Raw genomic sequence first — 16836 nt, 5'->3', positions numbered from 1 at the left:
CGGCTTGGTGGGCTAAGCATCTCCCTCTCTGATGACTGCCATGGGGCCCACAACCACTCATTCAAGAGGGTCACCACCACATTGCAGGTGTTCAGCTGGACGGTTCCCCAGGCAGAGCCTGCCATGGACTGCATACACACAGAGGATGCACACCTTGAAGTTGGACAATGAGGAGAACATTCCTGAAGAGGTGCATGCAGCCTGGCCCTGCCCTCACTGGGAACCCCCTTCCATCTGGGTACTAGACAGAATTCTGTGCACTTTTCTGGAGGCTCCATGCTGGTCTGTTCATTTGGAAGTTTGATGCTGTCCGTGAGGAAGTAACAAAAGAGATATCTCAGAGCAGGTTGTGGGGCACAGGCTGAGAGATTTTCTCCCTCCCTAGTCCCTCTGCAGACACGGGGCTGGAACAAGAACCTGTGGATAATGAGGGAACTTCTCTTCGAGAACCGGCCTGAGCAGCTGCTTCAAGAAAGAGCCACATTAAAGTGCCTATAGCCCCTGATGAGGGAATGGTAGCCTCAGGCCCGCCTGCCATGTGTGAGCAGGTTTTCTTGCTATCAGGATGAAAGCAAAGAAAGCTGGAATGAGCCCAGCCCTCTCAGGCACCTTGAAGACTGTTGGGGTTCCTTCCAGCCCTTCTAGCCTTATGCTTTTTGGCAGGCCACTCAGGCACCTTTTTCCAGCCTCTGAGACTTCCATGCTCTGGAAGGAGAGGGTCCCACTTTTCACTAGGCTATGGGGCCAGGCCCATCCAGCTCCCGGCTTCCACTAACAACCATGGGGCTCTCACCTGGGCACACACTGCCCAAACATGGACCTTCTAAGGCAGAAGATCATGTGTCTTGCAGTTCCAGCTTTCTAGGGCTTAAAAGTTATCAGTGCTGTTATTAAGATAGGGAAGTGAGAAAGGAAAACTTGCTGTAAAAGTTTCCCATAATCTTACCACGGAGATCATCAGCACAGATGACAGCACAGGTAGGGCTGCTGGGGAGGCTGAAGGAGAGTGTCCAGCCTGTTCTGCCAGCTGGTCCTTGCCAGGGGTGTCTCGTGACCCAGTCCCTTAGAGAAGCATGCAGATATCTCAGCAAGTATCTGGAAGGTGCAGATCAGGGCAACCCAGCACTACTGATGGTGGAGTGGGCCTACCTCCCATCAAGCTGTGTCTCCACAGCTGACCCTTGTAACCAGGAGGTGTTTTACAACATGTGCAAGGCAGTGAGCTCCATCAGCTGTGTGGCATTCAACACTCACTTCAACTCGGACATCTCACCAGAAAGCAGTGGGGACTGGCCAATGCAGAAGCCTGCAAAGTGGAACAGAGCGTCATGGGGTGGGGGATGTGGGGCCTGCCTGCTCATCTGAGCACTGCTCCCTGAGGGTGTGATCTGCAGGCTTCCTGAAGGAGGGCTGTGAGCTCTTCTGCGAGGCCCTGAGCCTGTGGAACATAGCTGAGGCCAAGCCCATGGGGATTTGTGTCTACTTGCACCTCCTTGCTCATCTCAGTACACTACAGGTGACTGTGCCGAGGTGGGCCTTGAGCATCCCCTGGGCTGTGTCAGCAAATGGCTCTGGGCCTGGCCTGGCATTGAGGGATGGCAAAAAAGGAGCCTGGGGTTGCATTGTCATCCCCTATGGTAGCATAAAATGAGAGAGTCCAGACCTGCAGGACTGGAACCCTAACAAAGGGGTTAGGAGACTGCTCACTTTCCCTCAGGAACCCATGTGGAGGAGCTGAGGGAGGTTAAGGAGACCCTAGGGACTCACTTGTTCTGTCTGGGCTTCCCCCTGCTCCATCGTTTGATGACCATTTTCTGGGAAGAGCTCAGGAACCTCCTGTGCTCTAGTGAGACGGGGCCTCCCCTCACAGGGTATTCTGAGACTGTGAGTGAGAAGCTAACACAGTGCCTTGCAATACTCATGGGAGCTGTCATCCTCTGTGACCATCACGTGGCCTTGTAGTGTTCAGACTGCCTGGCCTGCCTGGGGTTTGGTGAGGCTGTTTTGTGGTCAGGTGCTTTAGAAGCTCACTTTCTCTGCAATCAAACAGTGACTGTTTTCATGTCTGTTTATGGGTTTAAAAAATCCTAATATTTCCTTTATAGTAGTTCACCTTGTATGTGTTTATTTGTATAAATTTTATTAGAGTAAAGAGAGCTTAAGACAATAGCATTTTAAGGTCTTAATGAGGCATAGACTTTCATGTCACAACAGCTAATGTTGACCTCCTTTTGCTGCCTTTGTGTAAATTACACATAAAAAGTGCAGCCAGAGGTGACTAGAGCTGAGCTGCTTGGGCTTGCTTGCTGGCCTGCAGTCAGGTGGACTCTGGCTGTGAGGCAGTGCCCACCCTGGATCTACATCCCCCACCCCCTCTCCTTAGTCCCTGAGTAACCAACAAGGCCGTGCTAATGAGAGGGCGAGTGATGGGCATCGGGCACCCCCATATTATCCGGGAAGATTTGAATGCCATCTGGGCTGGAGCTGTTGGGATTAGGGGCTGAGGCTGTCTTGGCTTGTCATGGTGCCACCCACAGATGTGCCTGCCCTGTGCTGCTTCTCCAGAAGCCGGCTGCCCATGGCCCTGAGCCTGTCACACCATGCTTGCTACCTCATGCTGCTTGTGTTTGAAAAACCCATCCCGAGATGACGCTGCTGGATGTAAGTCCTGAAAAGGGGGCATCACCTTTGTCCTGGGGGATTAGGAGCTGACCAGATTCCTCTTGACTCCCTCCCAGAACAAGTGGGGCAGGTGCTGCAATTAATGTTGCCCCCTAGAAGATGTGTTTGCACTGGCTGAGCAAATATACGATGCAGAGACCTAAATGAAGACACGTGAATGGGGTGTGTGGACATCAGTTAGTAGCTGGGAAACAGGTGCCTCTCAGGCGTCTCGTGTTCCAGCAAGTGTGGAATATGCCTGTGCCCATGAGTGTAGACATCTGAAGTGTATACATTTGGCTGCTGCTTTTGCTGCCACTATTCCCAGGCCCAACCTGGCTTAAAGTCCAGGTTTTAAGTAAAAAGTAGGAGGCTTTTTGCCATACAGCTACTTGAGAGGCTGAGGTGAAAGCATCACTGGAGCCTAAGAGATTGAGGCTGCAGTGACCCATGATTCAGCCACTGCACTGACACAGTGAGACCTGCGTGTGCCCTTCTACAGAGAATAGCTCTGGGGCATTTGGGGATCCCTACAGTCCCGGACCCTCCCTGTCCCCTGCTGCCTGTGCTCCTTTCCTTGCCTGCTGTCAGAGCCTAACATGGAGGCGGTTGCCACCCTGTGAGCCTGAGGGAGCTGTGTCTGACTGGAACTTCTGTCTGAGGTTTTGCGAAGTCTTACTTATGAATATGGTCTGTCCAGATACCTTGTTTCAAAGGAAGTGAGCATGAGCTAGCAAGTGTAGCCACCCCACAGCTGATAAACAACTTTGTCTTGTTTTTAAATCATCAATCTTCATTTCACATTGGAATAAAGTAAGTGAAACCTGCTACCCGAGCCTCGCCCGTGTGTTCTGTAACCCAGACTCATGTGGTTGTGTGGGCTGTTGTCAGAAATGTTATAAAAAGGTTATGCATAAATTAGATCAAATATAAAATTATGCTTATAATGTCACTTGAGTGGGAGGTAAGAGGGTAGAGTCACAGGAAATCTGTTGGGGTTTACACCCCTGCTACTTACCAAGCTCATGAGAGTGTGGCACTGGTGACCATCACCTGACATTGGTGACAGAAGAGAAAAGGTCGAAGTGAAGGCCAGGTAGGAGAGAGGTGCCAGGCTGTGGGGCCAGGCCCTGCGCATGCTGGGCCTGTTAGGTCACTGAACATCTAACTACCCGGGAACCAGCTCTTTTCACATCATTTGAGGTAAGACGATGGGGGAGCACTCTCCAGAAGTCACACTGCGCTGGGAGAATGGAGGAGAGTCTACATACCGCCATCTTAGGGTAGGTTTTAGATTGAGCTGAACTGTCTTGGAGAGCTAATGAGATGGGAGGAAGACAGTCCCCCAGGTGCACCTAACAGCCAGAGCCTATGAAGTTAGGGGGGTTGTGTGGGGGTGGCCTTTCCCTATAAGAGGAGGAGCTTAAAGCTCTTAAAGCTGGTGGCTGCTGCTCTGCCATCCCTCTACAGAGCAGTCAAGTCCTCAGCTGCAAGAATATCTGAATGTCTTTTGGAGTGTTAGAGTCCTCTGTGTCTTAGAAATTTTGAAAAGAAAAACAAATCTCAATATTAATGTTGATTAGTTTCTCTGAGCCAATTGGGGAAAATAAACGTCCTTCACCTCAAAGGTTTAAGTGACACCGAAGGGTAGCCACCAGTGTCTCGGCCACTGAAGCCTCATGCATGCTCTCACTACCAGTTTGATTTGCAGCCCCATAGTTGTGTTGTACTAAATATTCTTTCCTCTGGCCTTGTCCAGTGAACACGGTTCACATGGCTAACACCACTTCTTGAGATGCGAGCACCATGCAAAGCTGAGAACGGATTGGGTTTTGTGACCATTGTGCCTCCTCCTCACCTGAGAGGCCCATTTTTCCTGGTTGATTCATTAAGTGTATTGGTGCTGTCAGTCGCCTCTGGACAATTGAAATGACAAGTGGCTGTTGATTCATAAAGAAAATGAAGGCTTTAGATGTGAAACCCTCGTTTTCTCTTGTCCTTCTCTTAGGTGAAAGATTTTATTTTTTTCAAAAGGCTACATACTGGTATCCCAGCAGGTGTAGTGTGAGAACTGGCATATGTTAGGCTATGGTGTCAGTGTGGATGGGCAATTCTTCAAGATGGAAAACCAAGTCTCACTGAGTTGCTGGAGCCACACTGACCTTTCTCCACATCCCCCACCATGGGCTTTCACTTTTATCCTGTGCTTGAATTTTTTTCACATACAAATTCTTTATACACACACACAGACACACACACACATATCTCACTCTGTCAATGCAGTGGCTGAATCATGGGTCACTGCATCTTCAAATTCTTAGGCTCCAGTGATGCTTTCAAATCAGCCTCTCAAGTAGCTGGGACTACAGGCATGCAAAGCTACACCCAGACAATTTTTAAATATTTTTCTAGAGACTGAGCCTACTTATGTTGCTCAGACTCGTCTTGCACTCCTGGGATCAAACGATAATCCCACCTTGACCACCCAAAGTGTTTAGATTACAGGTGTGAGCTAGCACTCTCAGCAAAAATATATTTTAAAGAACCGTTACAACCAAATTATGAGTTATCATTATGCCACTGCCCTCCACCCTGGGCACCAGAACAAGACCTTGTATCCAAAAACTAAGCAAAACTAAACAAGAACAAAAAAAAAAAAACTTATAAATAAACTTTGAAGATTGTGTCATCTGTGTCCTTCCCTGCCCTCCAAGCTATCAATGTTAAATATAATGGTTATTGAGAAAATGGTTAGATATTATTAAGAAATTTCTATATATCTTCCAGCTGAGAATAGGTATTCTGTTGTGGCCCAAATATTTTCTCACCGCTACCTTCAGGGTCTAAACTAGCAAATCAGGACACCTGCAGAGGACAGTTGGCCGTTTTCAAATAGAAAGAGAAATACCCCCGTTCATGAGAGTAATCCAGTGATTTTCAAAAAGACAAGTCAGACTGACATGCAGCGCAGTCAGGCCACAATTACCCTGGAATAATCACTTCACACAGAATGGTTGAGGAGACTTTCTAAGATGAGCAAATTTGGGCAGCATAATCCTTGCTTATTTATTCCCAGCCCCCACTGCCCGCCTGATTCCTAATGGCTACCCTACAATGTGGTCAGCAGTGGGATGTAGCGTGGTGAGAGAGGGGCTCAGGGACGGGATGAAGGTCTTTCCTGCATTATCAAAATGCAGGTTAAAAAGTTGTTAAAAAGATGTCCAAATGTTCTAATTCCTACTGTTAAATAGCTGCTAAGATGCATTATACAACAGACCCAGGTAAGGGAAGGAGCATGTGCATTTCAAGTCTCAGCTCACTTCTTAATTAGCTGTGATACTCTGGGCAGGTGACCCCAACTATACGAGCCTGTGTGCCTGTCAACCCAAAACAATCCTAAGCAAAAACACCAAAGCTTGGGGCATCTTGCTACCCGACTTCAAACTATACTACAAGGCTGCAGTAACCAAAACAGCACAGTACTAATACCAAAACAGATATATAGACCAATGGAACAGAACAGAGGCCTCAGTAATAACATCACACATCTACAACCATCTGATCTCTAACAAACCTGACAAAAACAAGCAATGGAGAAAGATTTACTACTTACCAAATGGTGCTGAAAGAACTGGCTAGCCACATTCAGAAAACAGAAACTGGACCCCTTCTTTACATCTTATACAAACATTATCTCAAGATGGATTAAAGTCTTAAATATAAAACACCAAACCACAAAAACCCTAGAAGAAAACCTAGGCAATACCATTCAGGACATAGGCATGAGCAAAGACTTCAGGAATAAAATACCAAAAGCAATCACAACAAAAGCTAAAATTGACAAATGAGATCTAATTAAACTAACGAGCTTCTGCACAGCAAAAGAATCTATCATCAGAGTGACCAGGCAACCTACAGAATGACAGAAAATTTTTGCAATCTATCCATGTGTCAGAGGTCTAATATCCAGAATCTACAAGGAACTTAATTTCACACACACACAAAAAAAAAACATCAAAAAGTGAGTAAAGAATATGAACAGACTATTCTCAAAAGAAGACATTTGGCTGGGCGTGGTTGATCAAGCCTGTAATCCCAGCACTTTCAGCCATGGAGGCAGGTGGATCATGAGGTCAGGTGTTCAAGACTAGCCTGGGCAACATGGTGAAACCATGTCTCTACTAAAAACACAAAAAATTAGCATGGTGTTTTGGCGGGTGGCTGTGATTCCAGCTTCTTGGGAGGATAAGGCAGGAGAATCACTTGAACCTGGGTGGCAGATGTTGCAGTGAGCTGAGATCCTGCCACTGCACTCCAGCCTGGGTGACAGAGCTAGACTCCGTCTTTAAAATAATAATAAATAAAATAAATAAAAAGAAAAGGAAGAAGGAGAAGAAGAAGAGGAAGAAGAAGAAGAAGAAGAAGAAGAAGAAGAAGAAGAAGAAGAAGAAGAAGAAGAAGAAGAAGAAGAAGACATTTATGTGGTCAACAAACACACAAAAAGGAAAAAGAAAAAAGCTCATCATCACTGATGATTAGAGAAATGCAAATCAAAACCACAATGGGATACCATCTCACACCATTTGGAATGGCAGTTATTAAAATGTCAGGAACAACAGATGCTGATGAGGCTATGGAGAAATAGAAACGCTTTTACACTGCTGGGGGCGGGAGTGTAAATTACTTCAACCATTATGGAAGACAGTGTGGTGATTCCCTAAGTATCTAGAACCAGAAATACCATTTGACCCAGCAATCTCATTACTGGTTATATACCCAAAGGAATATAAATCATTCTAGCATAAAGACACATGCACTCATATATCTATTGCAGCACTGTTTACAATAACAAAGACTTGGAACCAACCTAATGCCCATCATTGATAGACTGGAAAAAGAAAATGTGGCACATATACACCATGAAATAATATTCAGCCATAAAAAGAATGAGTTCATGTCCTTTGCAGGGACGTGAATGACACTGGAAACCATTCTCTTCAGCAAACTAACACGGGAACAGGAAACAGAACACCATATGTTCTCACTCATATGTGGGAGTTGAACAATGAGAACACATGGACACCGGGAACAAAACATCACACACTGGGGCCTGTTAGGGTGTTGAGGTCAAGGGGAGGGAGAAAATTAGGACAAATACCTAATGCATATGGGGCTTAAATCCTAGACGTCAGGTTGATAGAAGCAGCAAACCACCATGGCACATGTAAACCTATGTAACAAACCTGCACGTTCTGCACATGTATTCCAGAACTTAAAGTAAAACAAACTAACAAAAATGCACTAAGGCTGAGGGGGAGTGGGGGTAGGGGCAGGAGTCAGGCGGGGGTGGGTGAGTCCTGGAGTTTTATCCAGTCATTGACACTGATGTGGGAACAGCCCAATCAGGCGCGCAGTTGGAGAGGACAGGAGAGGAGGGCGTGGCTTCTGGCGTTTGGCGGGTCTTTGTCTCTTGCTGGCGCTGGCACAGGAACTTGGGATCCGTCTCCTCTTTCGCCTCCTCCGCTTTGGGAGCCCCGGGCTACTCTTTCACAGCCCCTGTTGCCCTGTGATCTGTAGGTCCTTGGGGACGCACAGTTAAGATGACAGGACATCCTGGAAGCTGGGAAATGGTGAGTATACGGGGTTCGGCATCCCGAGAGGGGACAGCAGGCTGTGAAACCGGCAGGACCGGCCCCCACGGTTAGCTCCGAGTCTCCCGCAGCTTGGCCCTCAGTCCCCTGTGGCTGCAAGATGGCCGCTGGGCCAGCATCGAGGACCCCCACATCCGGCCTGGCCCATCCGGTGCTGTCCCTGGGCAGCGCCCTGCTCTGCGCCCACAGCCATGAGTATTTCCCAGATTGTTCAGGGAGGCCTGGTGGGTCATCAGGGAAAAACTGCCACTGGGTGTTTGCGTGGGAGGAGCTGCGGCCCGTGGGGTCCCCAGTCTCTCTTGTTAAAAATTAACGGGAGTCTATGTTAAAACGTTAACCAGTTTATCTGAACAAACAGTGATTGGTGAAATGGAAAGCACCCAGCCATGATTTCTGGTCCACCAGAGGGGCATAAAGGAAAGGCTTTCATAAGATGCATGAGAAAGCAGCCCAAATTCAAAAATTGGTTCCAGTTATGTAGTCACCTTATTTGAACTATCCAGATGGAAATGTCCTGGTTACATATTCAGAGGTTAATTGCATGTTTGCCATTGGTTAAACGTGCATTTTGTTTCAGGCTAAGATAATGCTTTATAGGAAATGTATTTGAGTTAGGTTTTAGTTTTTGTTTTTTTTTTTTTAACCTATGAACCCAGGACACTAGAGCCACTTTAGTCTAATTTTCTGCTCTTTAATTATTTTAACACTCCAGAGGAGGACTGGTTTTCTCCTGTGTTTTTTTAATATATGGCAAGTGGAACCTCTAATCGACCACCCTGTTTTTCAGCCTAACTCAGGCTTGTGGTAAAATTATCAGTTCCCACTTTCTTTGCTGCATTCTCAAATGCAACACAGGAGAACAGCTTTCCCTTGCAAATTCACAATGCTGTTAACTATTTGTCCTTTATTATACATTTCATTAAAGTTTTCTATTATTGGATTTCTTTCTACTTCTCCCTACAGTTCTGCCCATATTTGCTTTTTATATTTAGAAGCCTCCCTTTTGGGTGCATAAATATATATAGCTATATTCACTTGACAAATTAACCTCTATTATTATTGTATGGTAAACTCATTTCATGCTTGTGAGAGACATTGCTAGAAAGTCTATTTTGTCTAATTTAAGCATAACTACCATTGAACTCCTTTGGCTATTATTTGCATGGAATATCATTTTCTATCCTTTCACTTTTAGCCTATGCTCTTAATTCATAATTGAGTCTCTTGTAAGCAGCATATTACGAGGTTTAAAAGTTTCATTTATCCACTCTGTCTGCTTTAGTCTCTTTTGGCTGTTATAACAGAATATCACAGACTGGTAATTAATAAAGAACAGAATTTTATTTGACTCATGATTCTGGAGGCTGGGAAGGTAAAAGAACATGTTACTGGTATCTGTTGAAGGTCTAGTTGCTGGATAATAACATGGCCAAAGATGTGAGGGAGAGACAGCTTTTTTTTTTTTAATATATAACAGATCCATTCTTGTTAAAATTAGCCCATTCCCATAATAAGAACATTAATCCATTCATGAGGGCAGAGTGCTTATAGCTTAATTAATTTTTAAAGGTTCCACCTCTTAATTCTTTCACATTGGCCATTTTATCCTAAATTTTGGAGATGACATTCAGTCTACAGAAGTATCTGTTTAGTAGATAATTTAATCTTTTTATTTGTAAGGTAGTGATAGGTAAGCAGTTACTATTGTACATTTGTAGTTTTCTGTCCATTTTAAGTTTGCTTCTTTTTTTTCTGGTTCTGTCTTTCCTGTGGTATTGTTCATTTTTGTTGAGACAAAGTTATGCTTTCTTGCTCAGACTGAAGTTCAGTGGCATATCACAGCTCACTGTAGCCTCAATCTCCTGGGCTCAAGCAATCCTCCCCCCTTAGCCACCCAAGTAGCTTGGACTACTTGGACATGTACCACAACACCCAAGGAGCTTATGATTCTTCCACCTTGGCCTCCAAAAGTGTTGGAATTATAAGCAGGAGCCACTGTATCCAATGTGTAATTTTTGTTGTTTGTGTATGCTTTAATTACTTTCTCTTTTTCTTTACTATGTTTTTTTTTCCCCCAGTGGTTATCATGAGACTTATGTAAAACCTCTTGTATTTTAATAGTCTAGTTTAAGATGATAACAATTTAGAGTATTCTGAATTTCAGTATGTATTTACCATTTTTAGTGACATTTATACTTTAGTATTTTTCATATTGTTAGTTAGCATTTCATCATATCAATGTGAAGATTTCTTCCAGACCTTGGCTGGAGAAGGAAAGAAGGTGTGTTTTGCCTGATTCAGGGACTATAGAGAGAACCAAGTTCTGCAGGCCTGTCACCTAAGTCTCAGATGAGTATGAATTCTTTTGTGTTTTTCACAGATTTTTGCAGTGGCAGGACCAAGTTCAAATGAGTCATAGCCAAGTTTACAGTAAGATGTGGTAGTATTCTGTTTTGAACCGAGGACCATGATTGGCAAGCTTGCCACTTGGTCAAGTGCTTACCCTCTAAAGATGTCTTCCTTGGTCTTTGCCTCCAGCTGGGTGTCACAAACTCTGAACTGGATTCTAAGGCTTTCATGAATGCACTTATGTTTCCCGTGGCAGCTGCATTATGTTGTGGGGGATGTGCATGCCGAACCTCCCATTCTGTCGTCTTGCTTATGTTACTCTCCTTTATGTTTCACTTTCTCAAATGAATGTCAAGCTGGTGATTTTTAGATTCAAAAATTCTAAAATAAATTGCTCAAATTTCCACATTATGTAAGCTATTAATAAAATGTCTTGTAGGTGCTACATATTTATTAAAATTTTTGGTTGTAATTTTAAGCTCACTGCAGGCAGAAAGGAATCATTAACATTTATATTCTTTTTTTTAGTCTGTATCTAAATGATGGTATATTTTAATTCCAGATATTTACTTTATACTGCAGTAATGCTCGTCATATTTTGCAAAATTTATGTTGTTCTTTTATTTGGAAATATAAGGCTTTTTTAGCTCTTGAAATCTATATTATAGTCATATAATTTTATTATGTTTTGTGGTAAGAAGTGCAGCAACATATTGAGAACATAATAAAATTATCCTGTATTTTTAATGATTATTTATTAAATTCCTCTCATTAGAGCCTGTTATTAATGATTGTAATGTATTTTCTGTATAATTTTACTGCAATTTATTAAATTCTAATGACTTAAATTGTCTGCTTTTCATGAGTGCACACAGTTGAATGCTGTAGATATCTAAAGAATTATTTTTCGGCCGGTTGTGGTGGCTCATGCCTGTATTCCCAGCACCTTGGGAGGCCAAGGCGGGTGGATCACGAGGTCAGGAGATCGAGACAACCCTGACTAACATGGTGAAACCCCGTCTCTACTAAATATACAAAAAATTAGCCGGGCATAGTGGCAGGCGCCTGTATCCCCAGCTACTCAGGAGGCTGAGGCAGGAGAATGGCGTGAACTCAGTGGACAGAGTTTGCAGTGAGCCGAGATCGCGCCACTGCACTCCAGCCTGGGCAACAGGGCAAGACTCTGTCTCAAAAAAAAAAATAAAAAAAAAAACGGTTATTTTCCATTGTAAATCTATGTTGTATTCAGGATTTTATGCACGAAAATCTCTCTTCTTATTTTCAAGTCCGTGTTATTGTGTTTCTTTTCTTGGGAGTTATGTTTTCTCAGATCAGTTAAATGTATTTTTATTTTAAAGCTTGATATCATCAGTTGAAAGATAATTTTTAGCTCGGTACACTTTATCTCAATGTGATGTTTAATATATGTGTGAATTAGCTGTGTTTGTTGCTTATAGATATATCTGTATGTTTTTCACTTATGTAAGTATGACATCTTTTTCCTTGTTTTTTTGTTTTTTTCTTTTCAGTTTCAGATAGGCTTTTTTTTTTTTTAAGAGAATTTTAAAACAGAGTCGAAAGAAGAGAAATCAGTTATTTGTCCTCTTGCAGGGTGGGGAGACAACTTCCTTCCCCACAGGTTTGAGGCTATGCCTAAGTGGTGAGTCTTGAGGAGATGCAGAAAGGATCCATCCCAGGCACTTGGCTGGACTTAAGTAAGCATAGCCTTTAGGCCACAAGACCTGATGGTTTGGGTACTGGTCTGGACATAAGTCCCCATCTTCCCAGAAATATCATCTTTTGTCTGCAACAACTGGCTGGAGAAATATTTCAGAAAGATGTGTGTCTGGAACACCCAAAGACATACTTTTCCTTTCTCCTTGGCATAGGCCTTGCAGCACTGAAGAAAGACCAGGTTTGCAATGGAGCCTTCAACAGTCTTCATCCCTATGGAACTCAGGGTCTCATAGGGTGACAGGAGAGGAGACAAAGCTAACTTGGGAAGAGTCTCTGTCCTTCAGCTTCTCCCCTACTGAAACACTATATATTGGGCCCACAGTTCATCACAAAACACACATGCTCTCTTTCTTTCTCTCACACCCAATCTTGGGAACCCAAAAACTTGATGGCAGGTAGCTCTGGGTATCCTTGGTCTGGCATTCACCCACTGGGAATCTAAGCTGTCCTAAAGCTCTTTTCAATCACTTCTCACTGTTTCCAGGCCCATGTGGGTAGGTGTTCCAGGCTTCATTCTTTCAGGCTGATCATAAAGGCACAGTGTGGGAAAATCCCCTACTGTGATGGCCATTGCTGGGAAGCAGGAAAGGCTAAGGGCCCACTGCTGCCCAAGGCTAGTATAGATGCCCTCTGCTCCACTCATGTCCTCAAAGACTGATATCAGGTGCAGCAGCTGCTGTCTGGAATGTTATCAAACCAGGACTGCACAGGCACTGCATTCTCTGTGTGGAAGACGTAAGAAGCAGGCGAGTTGTCCAGGATGAGAGTTTTCCTCAGGTCCCTCCCCAGATGGCTGAGGTCATTGACATAGCAGCCCTGGTGGAACAAACGTGACTCATGGGCTAGGCAACCCCAGAACACCTCACACTGGTCCAGCACACCCATCACAATGTGTCTGGAATTGGTGGGTTCTTGTTCTCACTGACTTCAAGAATGAAGCCACAGACCCTCACGGTGAGTGTTACAGTTCTTAAAGGTGGCATGTCTGGAGTTTGTTCCTTCTGACATTCGGATGTGTTGAGAGTTTCTTCCCTCTGGTGGGCTCGTGGTCTCGCTGGCTCAGGAGTGAAGCTGCAGACGTTCGCGGTGAGTGTTACAGCTCTTAAGGTGGCACATCTGGAGTTGTTCATTCCTCCAGGTGGGTTCGTGGTCTCGCTGGCTTCAGGAGTGAAGTTGTGGACCTTCACAGTGAGTGTTACAGCTCATAAAGGCATTGTGGACCCAAAGAGTGAGCAGCAGCAATATTTATTGCAAAGAGCAAAAGAACAAAGCTTCCACAGTGTGGAAGGGGACCCGAGTGGGTTGCCACTGCTGGCTGGGGCAGCCTACTTTTATTCCCTTATCTGGCCCCACCCACATCTTGCTGATTGTTAGAGCCGAGTGGTCTTTTTTCACAGGGCGCTGATTGGTGTGTTTACAATCCCTGAGCTAGACACAAAGGTTCTCCACATCCCCACCAGTGTAGCTAGATACAGAGTGTTGATTGGTGCATTCACAAACCCTGAGCTAGACACAGGGTGCTGATTGGCATGTTTACAAACCTTGAGCTAGATACAGAGTGCCGATTGGTGTATTTACAATCCCTGAGCTAGACACAAAGTTTCTCCACGTCCCTACCAGACTCAGGAGCCCAGCTGGCTTCACCCAGTGGATCCCCCACAGGGTCTGCAGGTGTAGCTGCCTGCCAGTCTGGCACTGTGCACCCGCACTTCTCAGCCCTTGGGTGGTTGATGGGACTGGGTGCCGTGGAGCAGGGGGCGACACTCATCCAGGAGGCTTGGGCACACAGGAGCCCACCGATGGGGGGGAGGCTCAGGCATGGCGGGCTGCAGGACCCAAGCCCTGCCCTGTGGGATGGCAGCTAAGGCCCAGCGACAAATTGAGCACAGCAGCTGCTGGCCGAGGTGTTAAGCCCCTCACTGCCTGGGGCCGGTGGGGCCAGCCGGCGGCTCCGAGTGTGGGGTCCGCCGAGCTCGCGCTGGCCTTCAAGCACTGCACGCCGCCCTGGTTCCCACACGCACCTCTCCCTCCACACCTCGTCGCAAGCTGAGGGAGCCGGCTCCGACCTTGGCCAGCCCAGAAAGGGGCTCCCACAGTGCAGCGACAGGCTGAAGGGCTCCTAAAGTGCCGCCAAAGTTGGAGCCCAGGCAGAGGAGGCCCGGAGAGTGAGCAAGGGTTGTGAGGACTGCCAGCACGCTGTCACCTCTCAACAGGATCTGCATACTTGTTCAGTCTGGAATGAAGAGAGCAATGAAGAAAACACATTTAAACAGTTCCTCCAGTCATCTCAGGAACTCATCCATATAAGGCCTCATGGTCCCCTCAATCTTTACAGTCACTAGGCAGTCAGCATTGCTGATTGGCTTAATGGAGCTATGCACAAGGGTTTCATCCATGTCAGTGACCATACAGATCGTTCCTTGATTTTTCTCTGTCACCTCTGGGAGCAGGCAGGTCCCTGGGATCTGATAAAACTGATACTGGAGACACTTGAGCTGATCCGACTTAGCAATGGTGTTGACTCCCTCCTTATGTGTGGAGAACTCAGTGGGGGAACTTGACTTGCCAACATGCTGGGTGCAAGAACAGCAGAAAGGTACCTTCTAAGATGTCACAAACATGAGGCCTCTTCGGAGAGCACTTTGGAAACCAGGCCTTGCTTGCTAAGGACCAGGGCATCTTCCCTCCATGCCTGGGTGGTGATGGAGCCTGGTTCCATCTAACAATCCTGAGGGCTCGGCTGGCTGGGTGGGAAGACAGCGGGCACGTTGGCTGGACTGGGCTGGGGGGCATGGGCTGGGGCCTGATTCAGTTCCCGAGAGTCTGACTTCCACAGCTGTTCACATACCCCTTCTCCTTTCCATCACAGGCCGGGAAGAGAGGCGGCCTGTAGGGACGGTGGATGGCCTTGGCAGCAGCTCCCCAGGGTGCCCCCAGCCCCAAATCCCCCAGCAGGAGCTTCAGGATCTTCAGTTTGGGTCTAACCTAGGGAATCCACCTCATACTCATGTTTTTTCAAGTTTTATTTTAAGTTCAGTGGTCCATATGTGATAAGCTTTTTTTTCAACTTTTATTTTAAGTTTAGGGGTCCATGTGCAGGATATGCAGGTCTCTTACATAGATAAACGTGTGCCATTGTGCTTTACTGCACAGATCATCTCATCACCCAGGTACTAAGCCCAGCATCCGCAGCTATTCTTCCTGCTGCTCTCCTTCCCCTCCCCCATGCCATGAAACAGGTGTCCAGTGTGTGTTGTTCTTCCTGATGTGTCCATGTGTTCTCATTGATCTGCTTCTGCTAATAAGTTAGAATAATAATAGGTGGTGTTTGGTTTTCTGTTCCTGCATTAGTTTGCTGGGAGTAATGGCTTCAAATTCCAACCATGTCCCTGCAAAGGACATCATCTCATTACATTTTATGGCTTCATAGTGTTCCATGGTGTATGTGTACCACATTTTCTTTATCCAGTATATCATTGATGGGCATGTAGATTGATTACATGACGTTGCTATTGTAAATATTGCTGCAATGAACATATGTATACATGTTTATTTAAAATAGATTTATATTCCTTTGGGTGTATGCCCAGTAATAGTATTGCTGGGTCAAATGGTATTTCTGCTTCTAGGTCTTTGAGGAATCTCCACACTCTCTTCCACAATGCTTGAAATAATTTACAATCCCACCAACAGTGTAAAAGTGTTCCCTTTTCTCCACAACCTCACCAGCATCTGTTTTTATTTCTTTTTTACTTTTTATTAATAGACATTGTAATTGGTGTGAGATGGTATCTCATTGTTGTTTTGATGTGTATTTATCCAGTTATCAGTGATGTTGAGCTTTCCATGTTTGTTGGGCACATGTATGTCTTCTTTTGAGATATGTCTGTTCATGTCCTTTGACCACTTTTTAATGGGGTTGTTTGTTTTTCTCTTGTAAATTTTAAGTCCCTCATAGATTCTGGGTATTAGATATTTGTCAGATGAATAGGTTGCAAAATTTTTCTCCCATTCTCTAGCTTCTCTGCTCTGATGATAGCTTCTTTGGCTCTGTGGAATCTCTTTAGTTTAATTAGACCCCATTAGTCAATTTTTGCTTTTGTTGCTATTTCTTTTGGTCTTTTTGTCATCAAATCTTTCCTCATGACTATATCCTGAATGGTATTTTCTAGATTTTTTCTTCTAAGGTTTTTATAGTTTTGGGTTTTACATTCAAGTCTTTAATCCATCTTGAGTCAATTTTTGTCTATGGTGTTAGGAAGGGTTCCAGTCTTAATTCTCTGCACATGACTAGCCAGTTATCCTAGCACTATTTATTGAATAGGGAGACTTTTCCCTAATTCCTTGTTTTTGTTGACTTTGTCAAAGATCAGTTTGTTGTAGGTTTTTGGCTTTATTTCTATGCTCTCTATTTTGTTTCATTTGTCTATGTGTCTGT

At 45.0% G+C, this 16836-nt stretch overlaps 1 long non-coding RNA gene across 3 annotated transcripts in view; it reads left to right on the top strand.

Annotated features, from left to right (window-relative positions):
- LOC102724701 (uncharacterized) overlaps window positions 1-16836 on the top strand; it is a 441766-nt gene that overhangs the window by 395306 nt on the left and 29624 nt on the right. Inside the window, exon 1 of one of the 3 annotated variants that reach the window (XR_001755107.1) lies at window positions 8119-8291. The exons of the other annotated variants lie outside the window; for them this stretch is intronic. This is a non-coding gene — a long non-coding RNA (uncharacterized LOC102724701). Of the gene's footprint in view, window positions 1-8118; window positions 8292-16836 lie in introns of those variants that run through there. 3 annotated transcript variants of the gene reach the window in all.

This window comes from Homo sapiens, chromosome 21, assembly GCF_000001405.40.
Source record: "Homo sapiens chromosome 21, GRCh38.p14 Primary Assembly".
NCBI classification, from domain to species: Eukaryota; Metazoa; Chordata; class Mammalia; order Primates; family Hominidae; genus Homo; species Homo sapiens.
Note: the sequence above shows the minus strand (reverse complement) of the source record. Positions and strands in the feature narration are given on the sequence as shown.